At 39.8% G+C, this 26,949-nt stretch overlaps 2 protein-coding genes across 3 annotated transcripts; one reads left to right on the forward strand and one right to left on the reverse strand.

Moving 5' to 3' along the window:
• Nucleotides 1–2,235: 2,235 nt before the first annotated feature.
• On the reverse strand, nt 2,236–25,581 carry WFDC9 (WAP four-disulfide core domain 9). Its single transcript, NM_147198.4, has 5 exons — nt 25,500–25,581; nt 8,925–9,018; nt 4,388–4,536; nt 2,960–3,107; nt 2,236–2,437 (listed from the first exon to the last, which is right to left on the reverse strand). The coding sequence occupies exons 3-5, from the start codon at nt 4,476–4,478 to the stop codon at nt 2,407–2,409; spliced, it is 270 nt and encodes an 89-aa protein (NP_671731.1). The 5' UTR covers nt 4,479–4,536; nt 8,925–9,018; nt 25,500–25,581; the 3' UTR covers nt 2,236–2,406.
• Nucleotides 24,036–25,493, forward strand: WFDC10A (WAP four-disulfide core domain 10A). 2 transcript variants are annotated; one of them, NM_080753.3, is made up of 2 exons: nt 24,036–24,201; nt 25,167–25,493. In NM_080753.3, exons 1-2 carry the CDS (start codon nt 24,111–24,113, stop codon nt 25,313–25,315), a joined length of 240 nt encoding a protein of 79 aa, NP_542791.1. In that variant the 5' UTR covers nt 24,036–24,110; the 3' UTR covers nt 25,316–25,493. The 2 variants fall into 2 exon arrangements, with proteins under 2 accessions (NP_542791.1, XP_016883168.1); XM_017027679.2 differs by having other exon boundaries at nt 25,185–25,315.
• Nucleotides 25,582–26,949: the final 1,368 nt, after the last annotated feature.

Consider the following 26,949-nt stretch of genomic DNA (forward strand, 5'->3'; position numbering starts at 1 on the left):
ACAGTGTTGCTCCAGTTAGCTCTTTCTTTATTGATTACCTGTCTGGAAATCCTATTCATCATTGAAAGTGAGCATTGAAGTGGCCTATTACAGGATTGCTATCAATTTCTCCTTTGAAATCTGTCAATATCTGCTTTATATATTTATATATTTATATTTAAGCTGATGTTGAGTGCACATGTCTTAACAATTGTTTATTCCTGTTGAATTGACCCTTTTATCATTATATAATGACTTCCTTTGTCTCTAGGGATAGTTTTTTATTAAAGTCTATTTTGTCTGATATAAGTATATCCACCCTTACTTTCATTTGATTATCATTTACATGAAATATATTTTTCCGTCCCTTTACTTCTAGCCAATTTGAAGTGAGTCTATTTTAGACAGCATATTGATGGATCTTTTTTAGATAATTGTTCAGCCACTCTGTTTTTGGTTGGAGAATTTAATGCATTTACATTCAAGTTAATTACTGAAAGGTGAGAACTTATTCTGCCTGTGTTGTGGTTGTTTTATTCTTTTCCCTCTCTTTCTGTCTTCCATTGTTATTTGATGATTTCCTGTAGTGATTTGCTTTGACTCATTTCTCTTTATCTTTTATATCTATTGTAGGATATTTCCTTTGTGGTTAGCTCCCAGCTTGTGTAAAATATCTTGTAGTTATAACCACCTATTTTAAGTTGGTAACTTCAACTGCAAACGAAAACTTTACTTTGACTTCTCCCATAACCACCCACTTTGAGTACCTGTAGTCAGGGTTTGCTTCTTTTTATATTGTGTGTTTATTAACAAATTTTTATCTTTTACTTTCATATTAAGGTTCAAAGTAATTCATGCATCACCTTCACAGTTTTACATTATTCTGTATTTATATATTTACCTTTCTCAATAAGGTTTATGCTTCCTTATGCTTTTGCATTGCTATTCAGTGCTTTTTCATTTAATTTGTTTTTGTTTGTTTGTTTGTTTTCTGAGACAAAGTCTTGCTCTGTCGCCCAGGCTGGACTGCAGTGGTGCGATCTCAGCTCACTGCAAACTCTGTTTCCTGGGTTCAAGTGATTCTTTTGCCTCAGCCTCCAGAGTAGCTGAGATTACAGGCACCCACCATCATACCCAGCTAACTTTTGTGTTTTTTTTAGTAGAGATGAGGTTTCACCATGTTGGCCAGGCTGGTCTCAAACTCCTAACCTCAAGTAATCCTCCCACCTCAGCCTCCCAAAGTGCTGGGACTGTAGGTGTGAGCCACTGTGCCCAACCTTTCATTTCAATTTCAAGAACCCTCTAAAGATTTCTTATAAGGCAGGCTAGTGGTGACAAACTCCCCCAGTTTTTGTCTAGGAAATGTTTTATCAGTACTTTATTTTTAAAGGATAATTTTGCTAGGTATAGTAATCTTAGTTGGCAAGTTTTTTCTCACACTACTTTGATTATGTTGTCTTACTCCCTCCTGGCCTGCAAGTTATCTGCTGAGAAATCCACTGATAATTGTATGGGGGTTCCCTTATATGTGATGAGTTGCTTTTCTCTTGCTGCTTTCAGAATTCCTTCCTTAACCTAGGCTTTTAACAATTTGATTAAATGTATTTCATTGGACAGGGTGATATGGAGGCCAGGGTCTTGGGTCTGTGTTGAGGAGTCTGGCTTTGCATGAGTAGACAGGTCACAGATTGCCAAGTACTTGCCAAATCCCATTTTCTGTTCTTCTTGAGAAAACAGCTAGATTACATTTCCCAATCTCCTTTGCAAATATGTGGGACCATATGACTGTATTATGGTCAATGGAATGTGGATTAAAATAATAAACTTTGCTTCTAGGCCTAGCCCTTTAAAAGCTTCTGTGTGAGCCCCCATGATACCTTTCTTTCCCTATTGCTGGTTGAATGTAGAGGAACCAGTAGAGAAGCCCCTGCGAGATGACAGAGCTACAGATTTAAGGAGCTACATTCCTTGAATCATGGCAGGGATGACTGCCCACTGACCACCCTCAGTGAAATGCATTGTGAATGAGAATAACCTTTCATGGGTTAACTGTATTACCCCATGAGGTTTGTAAAAATCTGCTTGAATATTTGCTCCAGCAATTAACCAAACTGGTTCATACATGGGTCTAACTGGGAAGGCAGAACTGGGCACCTCTGCCCATGATTGAGTGGAAACAACTGTTGGGACTGCTGAGGATTGCAATGAGAGAAATTAAGTCATAGGGAGGAAGTTAAAAAAAAATATGCAGAGCCCTCAGGTTGATGTAGCAGTTTATTTGACAAAAGCTTCAGGGTAAAGAGGTCAAGGAAATAGCAGAAAGGTTACCAGCTAGAGCCAGTGGGTGTCCCAAGAAGGAAGTAGGCAGCACTCTTCTTAGACCAGATGGTCATCCTTCAGCCCACAGTAGTGATCGGCCAATAGAATCTAGGGGTTTAGCATTGATTTAAGGGGCTCTCTAGAAGAGAAAAGTTAGTCAAAAGTCAAGAATCCTGGGATAAATCCATTTCTAAAATTAATAGCATCCTAGGCCCCAGATGAAAAAGGACAGCAATTCTTCTGCTAAATCAGAAGTTACCCACTTTTAAGCAATTTCCCCCAAGAAGTTTGCCAACTGAACAGACAGATAGATACCAGGTCTCCTTGGGCCTGGCTGAGAGTAGAGCGCCCATGGAGACGCCCAACTAAGGGGTTAGTAATTGGAACTTTGGATAAAGGAGGGATGTATGAACTGTTGGGTGATATGTTGAGGGAAGCAAAGGGAACTGAATAAGAGTGAAGAAAAAAGTAGAGGACCTCATGTTGGTGTCTTGGTTTATTTTGCAGTGAGGAGCAGCCTAGGTTTGGAGATAGGAGGACATTGTCTTTTGCTGCCTATTTCTTTAACCAGGATTTGGGTGGCTGCGGTCTTTTGAATAGTCGGTAAGGACCAGTGATGAAGCATGCCCAGGCCCTAGCCTTCCCACCCCAACCAACTCACTCGTTGTCTAAGCAGATGTTTCCACAGTAGGTCCAGCAGCATGTATGATTTGGACGTACACAAGTCATTATTTTAGTACACCTTTTCTCACAGTACTTATATGGAGGCTGTACCCAGCACTGCTCAGTTTCTCTTATCATATCTAGAACTGAGATGGAAGAAGTTAGCAGGGTCCGTCTATTCACAACTCAGACAAGAAACCTTTTCTAAGCTTAACAATCCCTTCTGAAACTTGAGCTCCAAGCCACAAAGTATTTCTCTGCCTTCCAAGAAAATCCCTTCCTCAAATTATAACCAGTGTCTTGTCACAAGACCATCCTTGCATGGCCTGTGTTCCTCCATCTACATGTCCCTACAGCATTTCAGACTCTAAAGATAGGACCTGGGACACCCTGACCATATATGACACCAACCACCAAATTTATTCTCATGTAACCTTAGATTTCAGGGCCTGCAATATCCTCTAACTCCAATTTCCAAAGCCAATTTGCAGAGTGGGAAACTGAGCCAAGGGAGAATAGAAACTTACTTTTTTTCCCCTTCTCTTTTTTTTTTTTTTGAGACAGAGTCTTGCCCTGTCGCCCAGGCTGGAGTGCAACGGCATGATCTCAGCTCACTGCAACCTCCACTTCCCGGGTTCAAGCGATTCTCCTGCCTCAGCCTCCTGAGTAGCTGGGATTACAGGAGCACACCACCATGCCTGGCTAATTTTTTGTATCTTAATAGAGACGGGGTTTCACCATGTTGGTTGGGCAGTCTCGAACCCCTGACCTCGTGATCCGCCCACCTCAGCCTCCCAAAGTGCTGGGATTACAGGTGTGAGACGCCGTGCCCAGCCATTTTTCTCCCCTTCTATTTGTTTCCCTGATGATGCCACCTAAGAAGTCAGTCTCTCCATAAATTTTATTTCCCTGGCCCACAACCCTCCTGCTCAGTGTCTTTGTTGTCCACATTTTCTTATCATATGAACCCAAACTTTGACCCACTAAGGAGCCTTTATTTGTCTTTTCCATTTTTCATGTTCTAAAAGACTCTTCCCCTCCAACTAAATTAACGTGTTAAATATTACCCTTTTGGCATTCATCAAAGGCTCACCCAACTGAGGCACAAAGGTTCTGAAAATATGGGCTTGGAGGGAAGCTCTGTGTTGGTTTTTCCTCTACTGGTCTGATATTGGAAAATATTATTTCCTGCTAGCTGATGGAATATAGACAAAAGATACGTTCCCTTTTCACATACCTAGTGTTGCTTTCAGAGCTGAAAGAGAAAACTTAAAGGAATTGGGAATATCTAACCTAATCTTGCTTGAATATCTCTACTTAAGGAGAGATCCTTTAAAGCCTGATTCTTGACATGCAGGCCCTGGATCAGCTACAATAGACATCCCAGGACTGGGCAGAGCACCCCGTCCCTTTTCACACCACCCACAGGGATCTTTGTTCCAGAAGCTTCCCAGCACAGGCAGAAGCATCACAACTCCAGAGATGAACATGACGAGTAGAAGAATCCAGGGCTTCATGGTGCTCTCTGTGTGTATTTGGGTTAAGTTCTGGCAGAAGGCAAGTCTTTTCCCAATACTGCTAGACGTAGAAAATGGATTGAGGAGAACAGGGTAAGCAACAGGGGTAAAGTGCTTATGACTATCATGTTATTCTTTCCCTTTCTAGTACCCAGTAGCATACCAACCAACTCCCAGGCTAGCCAGTGACTTCCCCAGGTTTCTTCTCATCTCATATTACATACCCCTTCCTTTGCAAAATTATTTCTTATTAAAATGAATTTCTCCTGTCTGATTAAAAACAATAAATCCTCAGATTATATAATATGTAAAATTAAAAATACAAAGAGGAAATAAACAAGCATTAGCAATTCCACCATCTAGAGATAATCAATATATGTCTATACTTTTATGTTGTAGTCATTATTTTTATGAAATTGGACACATCAAGTGTCCTGATATTTTATTTTGAAGCATATGAAACATGATGATGTAAAGAAGTTTTAGTGAAGATCCTAAGACAAAAGGCACTAAAGCAATTTAAGAGGGAATTACAGATAGATAACAGGACTTGAGAAAAGATGATGGCCAAGAACTGTTAGGGGACTCAAAACTTTAATGCACTAAGATGGTCCAAAGTTGGAGGAATTGTAGAGAAGATTTTGAAGGAAATTTTATTGGTAAAAAGCTTTGCTCGTGAAAGCCGGAATGCTGCCTCCTAATTCCAAGTTGAGAGAAAAGGTTTTATGAATACGACTCATTGAGCTTGCTATGTGATCCTAGAAGTCTATGGGAACACAGTAGACTTGAATCATGACTGAAGACTTTAAAGGGTGACTTTAAATCTGGCCAAAGCGGCCTGTAGTAGCAGAGAAGAGGGCTCTAATTTGTGAAGTATCTGAACTGCAAATGGCCAGACGACATTTCATGTTTCCAATGAACCCTTGAAATCTCCCACGAAAGAGTCAAGACCAGAAGCACAGAACCAGCTCATGATAGTATCTATTACACAAGAACTTTCCTACTACTCTTATTGGTCCGTCCTCCCTCTACTCCCTAGGAGACAGAAACTTGCTTTAGTCCAGAGTGGGTGGAGGAATAGAATTACAAAGAGCCAGAGTGGGGGTGGTGGGAGGCGGGGGAGAGAGATTCACCACATCCTGTTCCATAACTGGAGCTTCTGAGGGAGGGAGGAATCCATAGTTCTGAACAATTTATGTAGTTGTGACTAATTTCATGGGCCTGCACATTTTACTTATTATATTGAGAAGATGTTTCATGACTGGAGAATCACATAAAATTTGTGGAGACCTACCTAAATTTTCCTGAAGAAGCAAGGAAATAAACTAACAATTCTGAATGAAATATACAGGGGAGGCAAAAATATGCTCACATCATACAAGTCATGACAAGAATTCAGTCATACTTATTACTATCATTTCCTCATATCATCAAGACCTGAATAGTTTCAATTTCTTCTCGTTATAAAAATGTCCTGATGAACCTCCTTATAGTTAAAGCTTTGGTACATATATTGTTATTTTTATAGCATGAGTTAATGAAGAAAGATTTCTAGGCAAAAGACATTGTCTTTCCCAGGCTTTGGATAATTGCCGCCACATTTCTCTCACTAAGGGTTAGGTTACATTTCCACCTACCGGATATCAAATGCATGTCCCTCCACCCCTTGTTCTACTCTAGGCTATACAAAGGTAATTTTCATCACCACACTATTTGCTGATGGGTATTTTAAGAGGAAAGAACATGGGCCCCAGAGTCAGATAGGCTTGAATTAGAATCCCAACCCCACCAACTCCTAGCCGTGGAGCCTGGGCCAGCCACATAATCCCCAGAGCCTGGTTTTCCCCATCCATATTACAGAAAAAAATATCAATACTCATCTCATCTCATAGGGTCACTGGGAAGATTAAATAATATGTATGAAACACTAAGCATAGGACCTGGAATATAGTATATACTTCATAAATGTTAACTGTCAGCATTAAGCTCAGAATATCCTCCTCTGGATATTTGAAAACTATTTTCAATTACAATTTTTTTCTTTTTACTTTTTTTTTTACACTTAGCATTTTAATCTGTTTAGATTCTATGCCTCTGTGTGTGGAGGGAGACAGGGGGAGTTCATTCACTCAATAAGTACTTATTAAGTGCCTAACTATATTCCAAGTTCTGGGTATTGGAATATATTCCAAGTTCTGGGTATTGGAATATAGTGGTGAACAAAACAGACAAAAATCCTCCCATTTATACAGCTGGCATTCTAGTTAAACAAGATAAGGAAATGCATAGATGGTAATCAGTGGTAAGGAGAAAAATAAGGAAATGGAAGAAAATAAAATAGCCTTCAGCTGAGTGACAGCTGAGGGGTAAGGGAAACTAGAGTATGGGAACAGCAGAAAAATCTTAATAAAAAGGAATAGATAGACATTTTCTTAACACTGTAAAAATTTAACTATTGCAATCCAAAATCCAGCATTCCACATTATAAAACTGAAAGTACTCCCATTAAAATTAGAAATAGGAAAAAAAGATATGCACTATTAAGACTACTTTTTAACATTATTTTCAAGTGTTTAAGCCACTATAATTAGAAAAGAGAAAAATTTGAACTATAAATAATAGAAGAGTGGAAGAGGAACCTAATTACAATGGAAACTTCCCAGCCTTCTCCCATCTACCCCCCTCATTCTCTATTGCTCTACTTTTCTAGAACCAAATAGGAAGGAAAATAAGAGTCAAAGAAAAGGATAAAATTCTGACATGAATTGCATCATTGCATGAACAAGGCAGTGATTTTCCCTCTGCCTGAAAGTCTTTATATTTGTTCAGAAATTTTCAATGAAGCAAAAGAGATTTCTTTGTGCTGTCCAATGTGGTAGCCACTAGCCACTTATGACTGTTCAAACTCATTAAATTAAATCAAAATTCAGTTTCCAGTCATTTCAAGTATTCAATGGTCACATGTAGTTAGTGGCTATTGTCCCCAAAGTCTTTCTCTGATGCTTCTCATTCCATTTATACATAGGACGATGGGAATAGTCTACATCAACCTTTGACTTCTTGTGTGTCCTATTTAACATTCCTTATTTCTCAGGCGCGGAGCCTTTCCATCATCACAGAAAGTTCTACTGAACAATGCTGCTCTAGATGAATCCACCAAAATGACTCTGCTCAAAAGCAGAGGTAATACTAGAAAAATTTTAAAGCTGCCAAATTTTTCAGAGGAGACTTTGAAAATGTATTCTCCTCTTAGCTTCTGTGAAATTTGGAAGGTGAAAAATACAAGTTTTAGGCACATGTCATTAGATGTATTGACTTTTAGACAAATCACTTTTAAGAGATTCGAGCAGAGGCAAAAGCAGCAACATCTTAGCTTGGCAACTTCATCAAGTCATGCTTAGGTAAGCTGGCAGAGACACAGGTTCTTAATGGAGAAGCTTGGAGAGCAGGAATAAGCATCTAAGAGTAGAACCCCCACACACACAAATATCTGATCTGATCTACAATTTAAGGGCTTCTCTTCTCCTTTCGTTTCTCTCCCTAATCTCCTGCTCTTGCTAGCTAGCAATGGCAAGATACTCATTCCTTGAGCCTGAGTCCTTGAGAACCTCAGAGTGTTCTTCTGATTATGTGAATATACCAGCACATGGCAAGACAGGTGAACCATGAAGATACTCTGTTATCTGCTTACAGCCAGGGATGTGAGGGATGAGGTAAGTGGGTGAAAGTGGGCATAGATTGCAGTAGGCCTCTGGATTCCTGGTACCAACCCTTTGCATAAAGAAGGAGGAATACTGATATACAGTGACAGGAACACCATAAATCCAAAGCATTGGATTCCATGAGGCTGTTTCTTTGTATTCCAAAATACCACCCTAGACCCAAGTTTTCCAGAGCTTTGAAATCTGTTCATTCACACGGCCTCATTCTTACTCTAGTTTTCTTTCTTTCTTTCTTTCCCCTTGCCCTTTAAAGGTGTTCAGGAATCTGAGGATGCCTAGTCTCCTGTTTTGCACACCCTCAAGTGTACTAAATGATCCCAGACAAAAGAAACATCATTATGCCCAGGCTGGGTACTTCTCAACTTCTCATATACAGAGTGCTGTGAATTTTTTGGTCATCCTGAGACAAACTGCAGGACAATTCAAAGATCCCCCAGGATCAGAAAGACACAGAACTACTGCTCTCCACCAATCTGGCTTTCCAGATAATGTTAAAGAGGACAGAGTGCTGGATTTAGTGTCAGGAATGCTGAAATCTTTAGTTTCTGTCCCTTTTACCTATGGAACCTCAGACAGCTCATGTCACCCCCTCTCAATTTTCTTATTTGAACAAAAGAAACAATAATCCCTACCTCACAGGAATAGTGACACCATCTGGGCTAGGAATTAATCCAAGCAAGCCACAAATAGAAGCTCATGTCTCAAGACCTTTATCCCCACCTACCTCTGAAGGTGTCTGCATTGAGTGTCTGTAGTAACTGGCTGACAGCTCTTTTGTCTGGCCTTTTATTATGAAGTTGTTTGAAGTGGGGCTCGAACTGGGGGCAGAAGAGCAGAAAAACAATGTTCAAAGGCCAGGAACTTAATGGTGATTTTGGTTGTGACCGATTTTTAATTTCTACCCAGAAACTACATGTTGGCTGTATCACAGATTCTTTCCTTTGATATTCACCCATCCAGATGTACTCAATTTTCTAAGGTGCAGGTGGGATCCTCTGAAAAGCTGGGAAGAACATTGTGTACCTGGATTGCAGCTCAGGCCACCCCCAGCAGACCCAAAGTACATGTTCCCAAAGTCTCTCAAATACATCTCAGTCCATTCATATGTAGGAAGTTGGGAACAGTCTACATTGACCTTTGACCTCTTGTCTGTCCTATTTAACATTCTATCTTTCTCAGTATTGATTCTCTTTTACCAATAAAATCATAACAAGATCTCCCACCAAATGCCCTCTGACTTTTATGTAGCTAAAAAGAGACTGAATAGGAAGAATTTTAGAAAAAGTAGATGACCACCTAACAAATGAAGGAAGCGACGTGACCAAATCCAGCACCAAGTTCTTGCCATGAGCTTGTTGGTTGAGGTGCAGAGGGATTTGTTCACCAAATGTCAGGGAAGGGCATTATATTGGGCACACAATACACATGATTTGGAGATCACTAGCTCATGAGAAAAGAGAACAGTCAAGTGGGCAGGAGGCAGGGACTTCCAAGGGGTAAACCTTCTCTCAAAGCCTGTCTGCAGGAATATTATACGCAGTGACAGGAGATGTCAATATAAAATTCTTCCTAGGATACAGGCATACCTCGGAGATATTGCAGGTTCAGTTTCAGGCTACCATAAAAAAGGTAATATTGCAATAAAGTGAGCCAAGTGCACTTTTTTGGTTTCCCAGTGCATATGAAAAGTATGTTTTCCTGAAGTCTTTTATTTATATATTTATTTAAACTAGAAAATGAAATATTTAATAGTTGAAAGTTGTTTCTCTGAAAAAGCTAGTAAAATTTGCAAACTTCTGATACAAATCTGTATATGTTTCAGTATACAACTGTACCTCTTTCATATTCTAAACAGTTTCTAATAGTTTTCTTATGATGAATTTCATTATTACTTATTAAAATATTAAAAAGGTATGTTTACACTATGCTGTAGTCTGTCAAGTGTTCAATAGCATTATGTATAAAAAATAATGTGCATACCATAATTTTAAAATACTTTACTACTAAAAATTGCTAATGATTATCTGAGCCTTCAACAAGTCATCATCTTTTTGCTGGTGGAGGGTCTTCCCTCAATGTTGATGGTTGTTGACTGATCAGGGTGGTGGTTGCTGAGGGTTGGGGTAGCTGTGGCAATTTATTAAAATAAGAACAATGATGTTTGCCACATCAATTGATTGATCCTTTCAAGAAAGATTTCTCCATAGCATGCAACGCTGCTTGATAGCATTTTATACACAATAGAATTTCTTTCAAAATTTCGGTCAATCCTCTCAAACTGTGCTGCTGGTTTATCTAAGTTTATGCAATATTCTGAATCCTTTGTCATCATTCCAACAATGTTCACAGCATCTTCACCAGGAGCAGATTCCATTCAAAGAAACCACTTTCTTTGCTCATCTATAAGAAGCAACTCCTCATCCACTCAAGTTTTCTCATGAGATTGCAGCAATTCAGTCAGATCTTCAGGCTGCACTTCTAATTCTCACTGTTGCTATTTTCATCACATTTGCAGTGACTTCCTCCACTGAAGTCTTGAAACCCTCAGTCATTTATAAGGATTGGAATCAACTTCTTCCAGACTCCTGTTAATACTGCCATGTTGACCTCCTTCCATGAATCATGGTATGTAGAATAGTGAATCCTTTCCAGGAATTTTTTAATTTACTTTGCCCAGATCCATCAGGGAAATTACTATCTATGGTAGCTATAGCCTTCCAAAATGTATGTTTTAAATAATTTTGACTTGAAAGTCAAAATTATCTCTTGGTCCATGGGCTGAAGAATGAATGTTGTTAGCAGGCATGAAAACATTGATCTCTTCATATAGCTCCATCAGAGCTCTTGAGTGACCAAAATCTTTTTTTCTGAGCCGTAGGCCTCAACAGTGGGCTTAAAATATTCAGTATACCATGCTGTCACACAGTCTTTGCTGTTTCATTTATAGAGCAGAGCAAGAGCAGAGTTAGCATAGTTTGTAAGGGCTCTAAGATTTTTGAAATGATAAATGAGCTTTGGCTCATTATTACTTTAAGTCACCAGCTGCATTGGCCCCTAGCAAGAAAGTCAGTCTGTCTTTTGAAGTTTTGAAGCCAGGCATTGACTTCTATCTATGAAAGTTCTAGATGGCATCTTCTTCCAATATAAGGCTGTTGTGTCTTCATTGAAAATCTGATGTCTATTGTAGCCACCTTCATCAATTACAGTTGACCCTTGAACAAAATGGGAGTTAGGGGTACTGAACTCCTGCACAGTTAAAAATCTATGTATAGGCCAAGTGCAGTGGCTCACGCCTGTAATCCCAGCACTTTGGGAGGCCAAAGCAGGCAGATCACAAGGTCAGAATTTCGAGACCAGCCTGGCCAATATGGTGAAACCCCATCTCTACTAAAAATACAAAAATTAGCCTGGCATGGTGGCAGGCACCAGTAGGCCCAGCTACTCAGAAGGCTGAGGCAGGAGAATCACTTGGACCCAGGTGGCAGAGGTTGCAGTGAGCACAGATTGTGCCACTGCACTCTAGCCTGGGTGACAGAGCGAGACTCCATCTCAAAAAAAATTTAAAAAGAAAATCCATGTATAACTTTTGACTTCTCAAAAACCCAACTACTAATAGCCCACTGTTTTATTTTTAATTTTAGAGACAGGGTCTTGCTATGTTCCCTAGGCTTGTCTCAAACTCCCCGCTCCAAGCGATCCTCCTTCCTCATCCTCCCGAGTAGCTAGGACTACAGACACACACCACCATGCCTGAAATATTCTTTTTATTGAGATGGGGTCTCACTATGTTCCCCAGGCTGGTCTCAAACTACTGGCTCAAACAATCTTCCCCCACTCAACCTCCTGAGTAGCTGAAAGTATAGGTGTGCACCATCATGCCTGACTAATAGCCTACTGTTGACCAGAAGCCTTACTAATAACATAAACATTTGATTAACACATATTTTGTATGCTATATGTATTTTGTGTACCATTTACTCTTACCAGAAAGTAAGCTAGAGAAAAAATGTTATTAAGAAAATCATAAGGAAGAAAAACATATTTACTATTTATTAAATGGAAGTGGATCATCATAAAGTTCCTTGAGGATGTATAATGAACCCGCACAGTTCAAATCTGTGTTGTTAAAGGGCCAACAGTATCTTAGCTAGATCTTCTGGATAACTTGCTGTGTAGCTTCTCCATCAGCACTTGCTACTTCACATTGCCCTTTTGTGTTTTAGAGAGGGCTTCTTTCCTTAACCCTCATGAACCAACCTCTGCTAGCTTCAAACTTTTCTGCTGCAGCTTCCTCACCTCTCTCAGCCTTCATAAAATTGAAGAGTTGGGGTCTTTCTCTGGATGAGGTTTTGGCTTAAGGGAATGTTGTGGCTGGTTTGATCTTCTGTCTAGATCACTAAAACCTTCTCCATATCAGCAATAGAGCTGTTTTGCTTTCTTATCGTTCCTGTGTTCCCGGAGTAGAACTTTTAATTTCCATCAATAACTTTTCCTTTGCATTCACAACTTGGCTGTTTGGTACAAGAGGCCTAGCTTTCAGCCTATCTCAGCTGTTAACATGCCTTCCTCACTAAGATTAATTATTTTTCTAGTTTTTTATTTAAAGTGAGAAATGTGGGACTCTTCCTTTCACTTGAACATTTAGAGTCTGTTGCGGGGTTATTAATTGGCCCAATTTCAATATTGTTGTGTCTCAGGGAATAAAGGGGCTGAGAAGAGGGAGCAAGACTGGCAAATGACCAGTCAGAGCACACACACATTTATTGTTCGCCATGTCCTATGGGCACAGCTGGTGGCACTCCAAAGCAATTACAATAGTAACAACAAAAATCATTGATCATAGATCACCTTACAGATATAATGATAAGAATAATAATAATAAAGTTTGAAACATTTTGAGAATTACTAAAATGTGACACAAAGACATAAGTGAGAACATGCTGTTGGAAAAATAGTGCCAAAAGATTTGCTCAATGCAGGGTTGCTGCAAACCTTCAATTTGTAAAACATGCAACATCCATAAAGCAAAAATTAATTAATAAAGCAAAGTGTAATAAAATGAGATATGCCTGTATGTTGAGTGCACTGAGGGGCAGGAAGTATATGTCTGGACTCCAGGGACTTGGCTGAGGAAGGTGGACCAGTACAGATACAAAGAGCTTTGGAACCAAGGTAAAAAGGTGTGGGAACAAACTGAAGGAAATTTTGACAGGGACTGAAAATGGTGCCAAACCTAGAGTGATTGAATTATGGATTTCTAAGATATTTATTTATATGGCAGCAAAATGATGTTCCATGCATGACGATCATAGTCTTTTGCTCTGTGTGGCCCAGCTGCTGGAGAGCTGAGGAGCACAGTCACTAATGAGTAGCCCAGGAGTGCCAAGGACTCCTGCCACTCATGATTCTGGATCAAGCTATGCAGAATTTAGGACAATCTGTATACTCTTCTATTTTAGTTAAGAATTTCCCAGTGCAGTATCTGAAATACTGTATCCAATAATTCTATATCTAGCAAAGCTATCCTTTCCTGATGAAGGTAAAATAAAGACATTCCCAGAAAAACAAAGACTGAGAGAATTTGTTGCTACCAGGTCTGCCTTTCAAGAAATACTAGAGAAAAGCTTTAAAGCTAAAAAGAAAAGACATCAGGTAGTAATGAGATCTACATTAAGAAACAAAGAGAACAGATAAAAGTAATTATGTAGGTAAATATAAAATCTGATATTAATAATTTTTAACAGATTGGAATGACAACTGTATAAAACAATGATTATAATCATTCAATTGTATTGATAGGCTTAAAACATAAAGATGTAACATGCATGAAAAATAGCACAGCTGGGCGTGGTGGCTCATGCCTGTAATCCCAGCACTTTGGGAGGCTGAAGCGGGTGGATTACCAGAGGTCAGGAGTTTGAGAACAGCCTGACCAACATGGTGAAACCTCGTCTCTACCAAAAATACGAAAAATTAGCCAGCCGTGGTGGTGGGTGCCTATAATCCCAGCTACTCAGGAGGCTGAGGCAGGAGAATTACTTGAACCCAGGAGGCGGAGGTTGCAGTGAGTCGAGATCATGCCATTGCACTATAGCCTGGGTCACAGAGCGAGACTCTGTCTCAACAAAAAAGAAAAGGAAAGAAAAATAGCACAAAAGAGGGAGGAAGGCAGGCATGTAAGTATAGTTATGATCATCCAGTTTAAATACTTTGTAAGTATTTTTAAGTATGAGAGCCATGGATTATTAAGTAGCGTTATTTGTTTTTCAGACATATGGGATTTGCTTTTGGTATTGATTTTCTATTTTCCTGCATTTTCAAAAGAAAATATTGTATGGCATTAGTCATTTGGAATTTTTTAGGCTTTCTTTGTAATCTAAGTCATTGTAACTAAGTACTCAAACCTGCTCAATTGGGCCGGGTGTGATGGCTCACACCAGCACTTTTGGAGGCAGAGGTGGGTGGATTGCTTGAGGCCAGGAGTTCAAGACCAGCCTGGCCAACATGGAGAAACCCCGTCTCCACTAAAATTACAAAAATTAGCTGGGTGCGGTGGCACACACCTGTAATCCCAGCTATTCGGGAGGCTGAGGCATGAGAATCACTTGAACCCAGGAGGCAGAGATTGCAGTGAGCCAAGAGAGCACCGCTGTACTCCAGCCTGGGTGATAGAGTGATACTCTGTCTCAAACAAAAAAAACTGCTCAATCTACAACTTTGTATAGATAATTTATTTTCATTTATTGAGGCCATTTTGTGTGTATGTGTGTGTGTACACATATATACAATTGTTAAGGTTTCTTGATCTGTTTTTCTTTACCAGTATAAAATATTCTTGTCTAAATTGTGTCATGTCCTCTATGTTGAATGTTAATTATATTATGATATTTAAATTGTTATATCATCTTTCTTTTTAATTCATATTTGGTGGGGCATCCTTTTTTATTCCTTTATTTTAAATTACTTGTTTACTTTTGGGAAATTACACATTGTTGAATCATTTAAAAATTTTAATCTGAGAATCTCTGTCTTTTAATAAATGTCTCTAACCCATTTACCTTTAATAAATATTCTTATAGAAAACAATCTTATGTTAGGGCCTATCTCTGGCATCTTATTTCATATTTTTAATTTATCATGCTTTTTAAATATTTGTTTTTATTTCTCTCTTCAGACATCTATTGGATGAATGAAATATCTTCTACTATTTTAAAAGCCATTATTGTATTCTGATCCCTTAGAGGATTTTTTATTTAAGCCCACATTACTTTTCCACATAGACTTAAAGATTTCTAAAACTTCTAAGTTTTCCTAAAACAAGACAGCTCTTTCAGTATGCTAACTGTTCCCTTTAGTTTACCTTCTGACCTTGATATTTTCTAGACAGTTTTTAGTTCATGATTATAATAGATATTGGTGTTCTCTTATTCTATCTCTTCCTTCCACTTTCTTCTTAATCCCTAAATTTTTAGACAACACCAAACTTTATGAATTGACTTCTCACTATGCAAAATTGTTGACATGGCAGGCCTGCAGTTGCTATCTTTAAAAGTCCTGCTTACAAGGTTGGCTCTTGGTTGGCATCCATAAGCCTGAATTTTGAGAAAGTTCCCATTGTTCTCAGAACAAACAAGTATGGCTCACTGTGCCTCAACCATTTGTACAAACAACTTGGTTTATGGTAGATATCTGCTTTTATTTTGGGAGTCTGGAATTTTGGTACATGCTAGGCAGAAGCTGCTATATGACCAGCCCCCAATAGAAACCTTGGACACTGTGTTTGTCTCTCATGAGCTTCCCTGGTAGACAACACTTCACACATGTTGTCACAACTGATCGATGGGGGAATTCAGCATGCCCTGTGTGGCTCCACTGGTCATTGGGAAAAGACACTTGGAAGCATGCACCTGATTTCTTCTGGACTTTGCCCCTTGCACCTTTTCCCTTTGTTGACTTTGCTTTGTAGTCTTTCACTGTAATAAATCATAGCTGCAAGAAAAACCATGTGCTGAGTCCTGTGAGTCCTCCTAGTAAAGCACTGAACCTGGGGATAGCGTTGGGAATCCCCAGCATATTCACTTATATTGCCCATATACTTTTGTATAGTGGTTCTAGATTTATTTTCCTAGTGGAGCACATCCTTCAAGCAGGCTTTCAAAAAGGGTCTTTGTGTGGTAAGCATTCTGATGTTTCATATGTCTTAGAACAATTTTATTGTGCCCTCATAGTTCAGGATGTAAATTTTCACTTGAAAAGTTTTTACCTTAAACATCTTGAAAATGCTACTCTATTGATTTCTTGTCCTATTGTCACTATTTGAAAGTCTAATCTCAGTCTGATTATTCTTCTTCTTTGGGTGATCTAATCTTTCTCTATAGAATATTTTAAAATTTATTTGTATTTGATGTTCCTACATTTTATAATGTGGCTAGATATGCAAGTTTTCTTTCTCTATTCTTTTATGATCATTTCCAGTCTGAGATCTTTAATAGTTCTTTCATTTGGGGCAACTTCAATGCATTGTTTCATTAAATATTTTTTAACCTGCTAAATCTTTTTCTTTTAGAACTACTATTTGGATGTTTACACTTATACCTCTCGCTTCCACATACCTTAATCTTCCTTTTTATTTTGAAACAATCTTAAAGTAGCAGAAAAACTGAAAGTACAGTAAAAATAACTTCTTTTCCCTGAAACATTTGAGAGTCAGTTACTTAATGGTGCCCAATCACCCCCAATGCTGTCATGTACATTTTCTCTAAAGAAAGACAAGTTCTTCTACATAAACACAACATAGCCATCAAAATCTGGAAATAAATGATGCCAATATCTACTCTAATCTATTTACATATATTAATTATGTCTATTTTATGCATGATTTTAATTAATTCTGTATTATTTGCTATCAGTCATTCAGTGTGAGTGCAGAAACATTTCATGTAAATGTGATGTTCACTGCTAGGTTTGATTTGAAGGCCAAAAGGAAGCATAGGTTTGTTATTCTCATCCCATTAACCAGCTCAACTTGATGGGGGAGGTGATGCAAACCTAAACAGATTTGTATTGTCAAACCTAAAACAGTTTAGGTTAAGTTAAGCTAAGTGTGCATGTTTGAGAAATGGCTCAGGAGTGAGGGGGAAACTAATGGATGGGACCAGCTGATAATCTAGCTATGAAGATCTGGGTAAAACACCCAGAGAGAAATTCAGAGGAGCCCAAGCTGACACATTTCATTATAATGGTCATACAGTTATTCACCAAGAAAAACAAAATTAGGCCAGGAAAATAGCAAACAGATGGAAGCTTCAAGGATTTGGGGATTGTTACAAAGATCCCAAAATTAATCTGGATGTTGTTGCATCTTTATTTCAGATGGCACATCAAGCAACTCCTCTTATTCTTTTCTGTTTGTGCAGAAAAACCAGATCTGTGGTGTAGGTTTTGGATGTTTTTAGGCCAGGCGTGGTGGCTCATGCCTGTAATCCTAACACTTTGGGAGGCCGAGGCAGGTGGACCACCTGAGGTCAGGAGTGGCCAACATGGTAAAAATCCGTCTCTACTGAAAATACAAAAGTTAGCCAGGTGTGGTGGCGGGCACCTGTAATCCCAGCTACTCAGGAGGTTGAGGCAGGAGAATCACTTTAACTCAGGGGGCGGAGGTTGCAGTGAGCCGAGATCATGCCACTTCACTCCAGCCTGGGCAACAAGAGAGAAACTCCATCTCAAAAAAAAAAAAGTTTTTAAATTGACAAGTAGTAATTTTACATATTTATGTGATACATAGTGATGTTTCAATATGTATAATGTATAGTGATCAGATCAGGGTAATTAGCATACCCGTCATCTCAAACATTTATCATTTCTTTGTGTTGGGAACATTCAATATCTTCCTTCTAGCTATTTGAAATTATATTATTCTTATGTATGTTCATCCTACAGTGCTATAGAACACTAGAACTTATTCCTCCTGTCTAGCTATGACGTTGTATCCTTTAACAAATCTCTCCCACTGGGCACAGTGGCTCACGCCTGTTATCCCAGCACATTGGGAGGCTGAGGCAGGTGGATCACAAGGTCAGGAGTTCAAGACCAGCCTGGCCAGCATGGTGAAACACCCGTCTCTACTAAAAATACAAAAATTAGCCAGGCATGGTGGCACGTGCCTGTAGTCCCAGCTACTCAGGAGGCTGAGGCAGGAGAATGGCTTGAACCTGGGAGGCGGAAGTTGCAGTGAGTCGAGATCGTCCCACCGCACTCCAGCCTAGGCGACAGAGCAAGACTCTGTCTCAAAAAACAAAAAAATCTCTCCCTATCTTCCCCTTCCCACTATGCTTCCTAGCTTCTAGTACCTGCTGTTCTACTTTTTACTTCCATGAGGTCGACTTTTCTCCAGATATGAGTGAGACTATGTGTTGTTTAATTTTCTGTTCCTGGCTATTTCACAGAACATAATGTCCTCCAGTTTCAGCCATGGTGCCATGAACCACGGGATTTTATTCCTTTTTGTGGCTGAATAGGATTGTGTTGTATATTTGTATCATAGTTTCTTTCTCCATTCCTCGGTTGTTAGACACCTAGGTTGAGTCTGTATCTCGGCTATTGTGAATAGTGCTGCAATAAACATGGGGGTACATATGTTGATATGCTGATTTCCTTTCCTTTGGATAAATACCTAGTAGTGGGATTGCTGGGTCATATGGTAGTGGAGTTCTATGTGTAGGCTTTTGAGAAATTGCAATACCATTCTCCATAGTGACTGTACTAATTTATATTCCCACCAACAGTGTATAACAGTTCCCCTTCCTCCACAAGGTCAACAGCACTTGTTATTTTTTGTCATTTTGTTGTTATTGTAGCGATCCTGACTGGAGTGAGGTGATACCTCATTATAGTTCTCACTTGCATTTCCCCGATGATTAGTGATGTTGAGAGAACAATGAAGTCATTTTTTTCATATATTTGTTGGTCATTTGTATGTCTTCTTTTGTGAATTGTCTGTTCAGATCATTTGCCCATTTTTTAAATTGGATTGTTTGTGTTTTTGCTGTTGAGATGTTTGAGTTTCTTGTATATTCTGGATATTAATCCCCTGTCAAATGAATAATGTATTAGTCTGTTCTCAGATTGCTATGAAGATACTACCTGAGACTGGGTAATTTATAAACAAAAGAGGTTTAATTTACTCACAGTTCCACATGGCTGGGGAGGCCTCAGGAGACTTTAAATCATGTCAGAAGGCGAAGGGGAAGCAAGGCACGTCCTACATGGTGGCAGGAGAGAGAGCTCATGCAGGGGAAACTGCACCTTTTAAACAATCATATCTCATGACAACTCCCTCGCTATCATAAGAACAGCATGGGGGAAACTGCCCTTACGATCCAATCACCTCCTGCCAGGTCCCTCACTCCACACATGGGGATTAGAGTTCAAGATGAGATTTGGGTGGAGACACAGAGCCAAACCACATCAAATACTTTGAAAATATTTTCTCTCATTCTGTAGATTGTCTTTTCAATGTGTCGATTGTTTCCTTTGCTGTGCAGCAGCTTTTTAGTTTGATATAATCCAATTTACCTATTTTTGCTTTTGTTGCCCATGGTTGTGAGATCTTATATTAAAAATCTTTTTGTAAGATCATGAAAATGTCCTGAAGTATTTCCCCTGTGTTTTCTTCTAGTAGTTTTACAGTTTCAGGTTTTACCTTTAGATCTTTAATCCATTTTTAGCTGATTTTTGTATAGGGTGAGAGGCGAAGGTCTAATTTCATTATTCTGCATATGGATATCCAGTTTTCCTAGCACCATTTACTGAAGAGACTATCCTTTCCCCAGTGAATGTTCTTGGCATCTTTGTCAAAAAGCAGTTGGCTATCGACGCATGGATTTATTTCTAGGTTCTCTATTCTTTTTTTTTTTTTTTTTTTTTTTTTTGAGACAGAGTCTTGCTCTTGTTGCCCAGGCTGGAGTGCAGTGGCACAATCTTGGCTCACTGCAACCTCTGCCTCCCAGGTTCAAGTGATTCTCCTGCCTCAGCCTCCAGAGTAGAGTAGCTGGGACTACAGGTATGCACCACCATGTTCGTCTAATTTTTGTACTTTTAGTAGAGATGGGGTTTTGCTATGTTGGCCAGGCTGATCTCGAACACCTGACCTCATGTGATCCACCTGCCTCGGTCTCCCAAAGTGCTGGGATTATAGGCATGAGCCACTGCACCTGGCCCTAAGTTCTCTATTCTATTCCATTAGTCTACGTGTCTGTTTTTATGCCAGTGCTATGCTATTTTGGTTACTAGAGCTTGGTAGTATATTTAGAAGTCTTGAAACCTGTTCCCTCCAGCTTTGTTCTTTTTGTTAAGGATTGCTTTGGCTATTCTAGGATGTTTGTGGTTCCATACATATTTTAGGATTTATTTTATATTACTGTGAAGAATGTCACTGGTATTTTAATAGGGATTGCATTGACTCTGTAGATGGTTTAGGGTAGTATGGTAATTTTAACAATATTAACTCCTTCCATCCATGAGCATGGGAAGTTTTTCCATTTGTTTGTATCCTCTTCAATTTCTTTTATCAGTGTTTTGTAGTTTTCAATGTAGAAGTCTTTTATCTCCTTGGTTAAATTTATTCCTAGGTATTTATTTGTAGCTGTTATAAATGGGATTGCCCTCTTGGTCTCTTTTTTTAACTAGTTCATTGTGCATAGAAACACCACTGACTTGTATGTTTATTTTGTATCCTGTAACTTTACTGAATTTCTTTATGAGTTCTACAGGTTTCTTGGTAGAGTCTAAGTTTTTCTCTACATAAGAGCTTGTCTGCAAACAGGGTAAATGTGACTTCCTCTTTTCCAATTTTGATGTCCTTTATTGTTTTCTCTTTCATGATTGATCTAACTAGGACTTCCAGTACTACGTTGAATAAGAGTGGGTAAAGTGAGCAGCATGCTCATGGAGGGGCATGGAGGCTCCCTAGCCTTTCCTCTATATCTTGTTTCAGTTCTTAGAGGAAAAGTTTTCAGCTTTTCACCGTTAAGTATATTGTTAGCTGTGGGTTTGTCATATATGATCTTTATTATGTGGAGGTGCTTTCCTTTCATACATAATTTATTGAAAGTTTTTATCATAAAGTGGTGTTGAATTTTATCAAATGCTTTTTCTGTATCTACTGAGATTACCGTATGGTTTTGTCCCTGATTCTGTTGATGTGAAGTATCACATTTATTGATTTGTGTACATTGAGCCATTCTTGCATTCGTATGATAAATCCCACTTGATCATGCCACATTATCTTTTTGATGTGTTGTTGAATTGGGTTTGTTAGTATTTTGTTGAGGATTTTTGCACCTATTTTCATCAGGAATATTGGCCTGTGGGTTTCTTTATGCTGTCTTGTTATTGTCTGGTTTTGGTATTAAGGTTATGTGGGCCTCATAAAATTGAGCTAAGAAGAATTCCTGCCGCATCAATTTTTTGGAATAGTTTGAGAAGAATTGGTATTAATTTATATTTAAAGGGTCATAGAATTTGGTGGTAAAGCCATATGGTTCTGGACTTTTGTTTCAGGGGAGACTTTTTATTACTGATTCAATCTCCTTACTTGTTATTCGTCTGTTCAGGTTCTTCTGTTTCTTTTTGGTTCAGTGTGGTAGGTTGTATGTGTTCAAGAATTTATCCATTTCCTCTAGGTTTTTGAATTATAAAGGATATCACAAAGGATACAGAGGAAGAGGTGCATAAGGTGAGATATGGGGAAAGGCTAGAGAGCTTCCATGCCCTCCATGAGCATGCTGCTCTCCAACAACCTCTAAGTGTTCAGTGGTAGCCACCTGGAAGCTCTGACTTATATATTTTAATTTGAAATTTCTGTTCAGTTTTGAGTAATTGTCTTTTTTTAGACTAATTTCTAATTATTTCCATTATAGTCTGAAACTATGTCCTTTGTGATGTAATTCTTTAAAATTTTGTTCAGACTTTTTTTATAGCCTAATGTATAGTCACTTTTTGTACATGTTTTATTTGTGCTTGAGAAAAATGTGTTCCTCTAGTTTTTCTATGCAGACTTCTGTATATTTTAATTAAGTCAAGCTTATTAATCATAATGTTCAAATTACCCATCTCTTTACTAAATTTACTACTCTATCAATAATTTGAATGTATAAAGTATAGACCTTCTATATACCCATAAATCTTTCCCCTTATAAATGTCAGTACTTGAGCCTGCCACAATGTTGACTAGACTGCTTTAACAGAAAGCCTCCATCACATAATAACTGAAATACAATATACTTTTTATTTCTTGCTCAAATAATAATTCAAAATGAGTATTCTAAAACAATGGGTATCCTTTTTTCATGTGATAAAAGAAGTCAAGGACCCAGGCTCCTTTCACCTTTTGGCTTCACTAGGCTCTAGAACCTTGTTGTCATCTATACTGAGCTGGTGGAAAAGAAAAAGAGTGTGAAAGAGACTTGCCATCTTCTTAGGGTCTTGACCTAGTAGTGACAAGTCTGTTAGCCAAAATATTTACATTGTGGCACTGGCTGCAAGATGCTTGGGTAAGGAAAATGCAGCTTCTATTTGAGATGATGATTCTCCTCTATATAACCCCTCTTTGCTAGGATAGTTATGACAGTGTCCAGTCTCTAAATTGTTCATTTATGAGTGGACAAAAAGAAAAACTAGGAAAGAGAGAGCCTTTGGGAAGGGTCAAATACCACTCTGTAAACTATAGGTACAAATATCAGAATTTTTGAATTATAAAGGATATCGCAAAGGATACAGAGGAAGGTGCATAAGGTGAGATATGGGGGAAAGGCTAGAGAGCTTCCTTTGAATGTAAATTACAACTGTGGACTGAAGGAGTCTGCATTAGGAGTTCAGAATGTCAGAAAGAGGTTCAAATCTTTAGAAGATTATCATCATCAGAGGAAGAGGGTGATCTTCTTCCCAGCTTGCATGCCTACTGGGAGTCCAGTGACCCTAGGTTGTCCCCTCTTTCTCCTGTTAGGGAAGAAGAAACATCTTCACTTCTGAGAGTTCATTTCCTTCATGATATTCAAGGTCAGTGACCACCTCCTCCTGGACAGCCTGCCAAGCCTTTGACTGATAGGTCTCTCCCCCTGTCTGAGCTCTAAGATATTTACTATGTTTCTCCACTAGCCCTTCTGTCCCATGCCCTACAATAGTCTCTCTTTCTGTGTGTTTATGTGTGTTTAAATTTGTATATGTATATCTGTGTATGTGTTTATATACATTTATATATGAAACAGCTACTTACTCTTTCACTCAGGAATTCTAGCTCTCTTAGTCTAAAGAAATCAAAGATTTATAAATAAAAATAATATGACATTCTCTAGATTATTAGTAATTAGTACAATACAAATACTTGATTATTAGCATTTGAGAGCTGTGCAATTATGAAAATCCACATTTTGAGAAATACTTACATGATTAAATAAGGGTGGCAAAAATAGATAACAAAAGTTGTTTATATTAAAAGGATTGTTTATATTAAATATGGAGAGAAACTAAAAGATAATGCAATGAAACATCAGTTAATTCTAAGCAACTCTTTTTAACAATATATTTTTTCTTTTCTTTTTTCCATAAAACATTTTGTAATTAGAAAGCAGAAATAAATGATATCTTTCATTCTATCGGCAAGAACACAAGACTGGTTATGTGAAAGGAGGAGGCGTCATTCCTGCGGAAGCCCTATCCCACATGACGAACGACAAGGCCAGGGGCAAGCAAAAAGAGGAAGGACTCTCTTGCTCTGCTCCGACTTGGCCAGTAGAGGCAGTGAGGAGCTAAAGATCATTCCTTCTTTCCTTCCTTCACTCTCCGTAGACAGCTCTGCAGGGAAGTCTGTGACAACCTGGCCAGACATAGGGCTCACGATCTGATCAGAGTCATGGCACCCCAGACTCTGCTGCCTGTCCTGGTTCTCTGTGTGCTGCTGCTGCAGGCCCAGGGAGGATACCGTGACAAGAAGAGGATGCAGAGTAGGTGATGGGCTGCTGGATGGGTGAGGGGGAATTGGGTAGGGGGAATGGAGGGCCTGTGTCCAGTCTGAGTAGGACCTAGGAGTTGGAAACTCTCTGCATATCCAGCTCTGACCACAATGTTGTGTAGACTCTGGACTGTCCCTAAACCATGGCCCTCCAGCCCCTTAGCTGGCCCTGGGAATAGTAATGGGAATGAAGAAGAAACCTGCATATTTTGCTGTTCCTTCTCAATACTTAGAGAGAAATGGCACATCCCATAGTGAAAGGCGCACCAGGGCTGAGAATCCAGTGGGGAAAGCAAGACAATTATTATTTGATTTATGCACATTTGTGAGGAGTAAAGATTCAGAAGTGGTTATGACGGTAGGTGTAGGTGTAGAATGGGTATAAGTGTAGGGAAATAGGACATAAGACAAGCAAAAGTTGGGGTACACAGAGCCAAGTTAAGGTTATCATCAAAGGGGCAAGGAGAGTGGTGGTGGAAAGGGAACTAAAGAAGGGGCAGGAAGACTAGAGACAGTGACAGTGAGCAGAAGAGAGGGAGAGACAAGAGGCATGTTGATCCTCATCTCTGAATTCTACTATTCAGAGACTAGGAGAGAGTTTGAAAGATGTCTCATGCTTCTTTGAGCTCTCAGGATCAGACTGTAGATTCTTTGGTGGTGACTTCACCAAGGCCATGACTAGTAAGGGAGATGGAGTTCTGATTGCTGGTGTGTGGAGAAGGTCCAGGAAGCCCAGGCATTGTGGTCTAATGGGGTAAGGTGTACAGTGGAGAGACAGGATTTAAAATATGACCAATCACTAGGATTTGGTGATGGGCAGGAAGGTAGTTCTATGAAGAAGGAATCCAGGAGTATCATGACTGAGACCTGGGTTCAAGGGTCTTGGAGGAGGCTTCAGCTTGAGAAAAATGTTCTCTAGGAAACTGCGTTTATTTACCGTTCTATTCTCCTTGTCAGAAACACAGCTATCCCCAGAAATCAAAGTCTGCCAGCAGCAGCCTAAACTATATCTATGCAAACACTTATGTGAATCTCACCGAGATTGTCAAGCAAATAACATATGCTGTTCTACCTACTGTGGGAATGTTTGCATGAGCATCCTGTGAGTGGGAGAGTGGGCTGGGATGTGCATCCTGCTTCCCAACTCCTCTATCCAAGACTGTGCCCACATCCGAAGCACAAGGACCTCAAGTCACCAGCATAAGAACATCAACAGGAATGCCGCCCTCTCTACTGTCTGAACCCCTTGTCCCTGTCAAATAAACCAGAACAAATGCCCAGGGATCCTACCTCTTTTGCTGCCACTACAGATGATCATTGAGAGCTCACTGTGGCCCCTACAGATGCCCCACTTGTCTTGCGTCCTGGTGTTCAATTTCTCTCCCTGGCTATGCTTCTCTACCCTCCCTCTCCCTCTTTGGCCCACGTATCCCTGCCAGCCCTCAGGATGCCCAGCCCCTTGCTGTTTTGCTCACTGAACCAGTACTCCCAGGGGGAGGAACTGCTCATGTGCAGCATCTCCTGATGCTAAGGAGAACATTTCTCACCCTGGAGTCAGAAGGACCCATTAAGCATGAGATGGGTGGCAGTTAGAACCCGAGATAAAGAGTGGGAGGCCCCCAAGCACTGCTTTGGTCTCCTTAGCCTTGGTGCACCGCCATCCTATGCTCCCCAATCTCTCTGTAAGGTTCAGATTACTGTCTATCATTAGGATAATGAGTCCCAGGAAGTCCAGCAAGCCCAAGGCCACAAGAGAGTGAGAGGATATGATGTGACTGGAAGAGGGTGTTTCCTCTAGGATCACTTTTTCCTCACTTCTCTCCATTACCTGAGACCAGAGGCATCCTAGTGAGAGTGAGTGCCTGCACCAACCCCAAAGCTCCTCCTATCCAGCACCCACCAATATGGCTACTCCTCTGATGGGACCCATTTTGGGCCTCAGGATCTGACACTCCAGCACCTTCCATTAACTGAATAGTCCTTATCTTTCCCAAGCCCTCTTCCTTAGGGGCTGGTTCATTCTCTTTTCTTTAGATCAAGAGGAACACTAAGGGATGTGGAACAGGTGGTTCATGCTGCTGTTGCTAAGGAGTAATTGGCACAGAGTGGCTATGGGTCTTCCCTGTCATCCTACTGTGAGTTGGTGGAAATTAATCAGTGTGGTACAGAATCTCCCACTCTGCAATCGCAACTCCTCTGAAATGATCCTGGGGCTAGATCCAGGGTTGGGTCACATGTAGCTAACTGGGACATGAAGCCAAATGTGAAGAGGTTTCAGGAGGATAGGCCATGCCCAGAGGCAGGTGTGCAGTGTTATGCTCCAGTCTAGTGCTTCTTGCTGGGCCATTCAATGAAAGAGACATCAGAGAAGAAAACTTCCTTCATCAGACCAGAGGCTGTGAGCCACCTCTGAGGCATCACCGGGCTCTGGGTATCTCAGGCTTGTCTTCACCTTTCTCAAGAGCTTCCCTTGGACAAGGAGGTCTTAGGAAAGAGATCATGATCAACCATCAACACAGACACCATCAGATGTACTCTGTGGGCTGTAAGGGCATGATCTCCAAGAGACCTTATTTGGTGTTTCCTTGGATAGCCTCCCTTACCAAGCATCCTCTCAAGCCACCCCCAAACATGCCTACTAGACACTACAGGCATATCTTGTTTTATTGAGCCTTGCTCTATTGCACTTCACAGCTATAGCGTTTCATACAAATTGAAGGTTTGTGGCAACTCTGCATCG

This window comes from Homo sapiens, chromosome 20 (assembly GCF_000001405.40).
Source record: "Homo sapiens chromosome 20, GRCh38.p14 Primary Assembly".
Taxonomy (NCBI): Eukaryota; Metazoa; Chordata; class Mammalia; order Primates; family Hominidae; genus Homo; species Homo sapiens.

What these genes read in the sequence shown, in the direction of transcription:
- WFDC10A (NM_080753.3), top strand. Translation starts at nt 24,111, where the DNA reads ATGGCACCCCAGACTCTGCTGCCTGTCCTGGTTCTCTGTGTGCTGCTG. An exon ending in TGACAAGAAGAGGATGCAGA is followed by an intron (nt 24,202 to 25,166) that starts GTAGGTGATGGG and finishes TCTCCTTGTCAG; the next exon opens with AAACACAGCTATCCCCAGAA.
- WFDC9 (NM_147198.4), bottom strand. Translation starts at nt 4,478, where the DNA reads ATGAAGCCCTGGATTCTTCTACTCGTCATGTTCATCTCTGGAGTTGTG. An exon ending in CTTCTGGAACAAAGATCCCT is followed by an intron (nt 3,108 to 4,387) that starts GTGGGTGGTGTG and finishes CTTCCATCTCAG; the next exon opens with TTCTAGATATGATAAGAGAA. An exon ending in AACATCTGCTTAGACAACGA is followed by an intron (nt 2,438 to 2,959) that starts GTGAGTTGGTTG and finishes TTTCTCTTCTAG; the next exon opens with AGAGCCCCTTAAATCAATGC.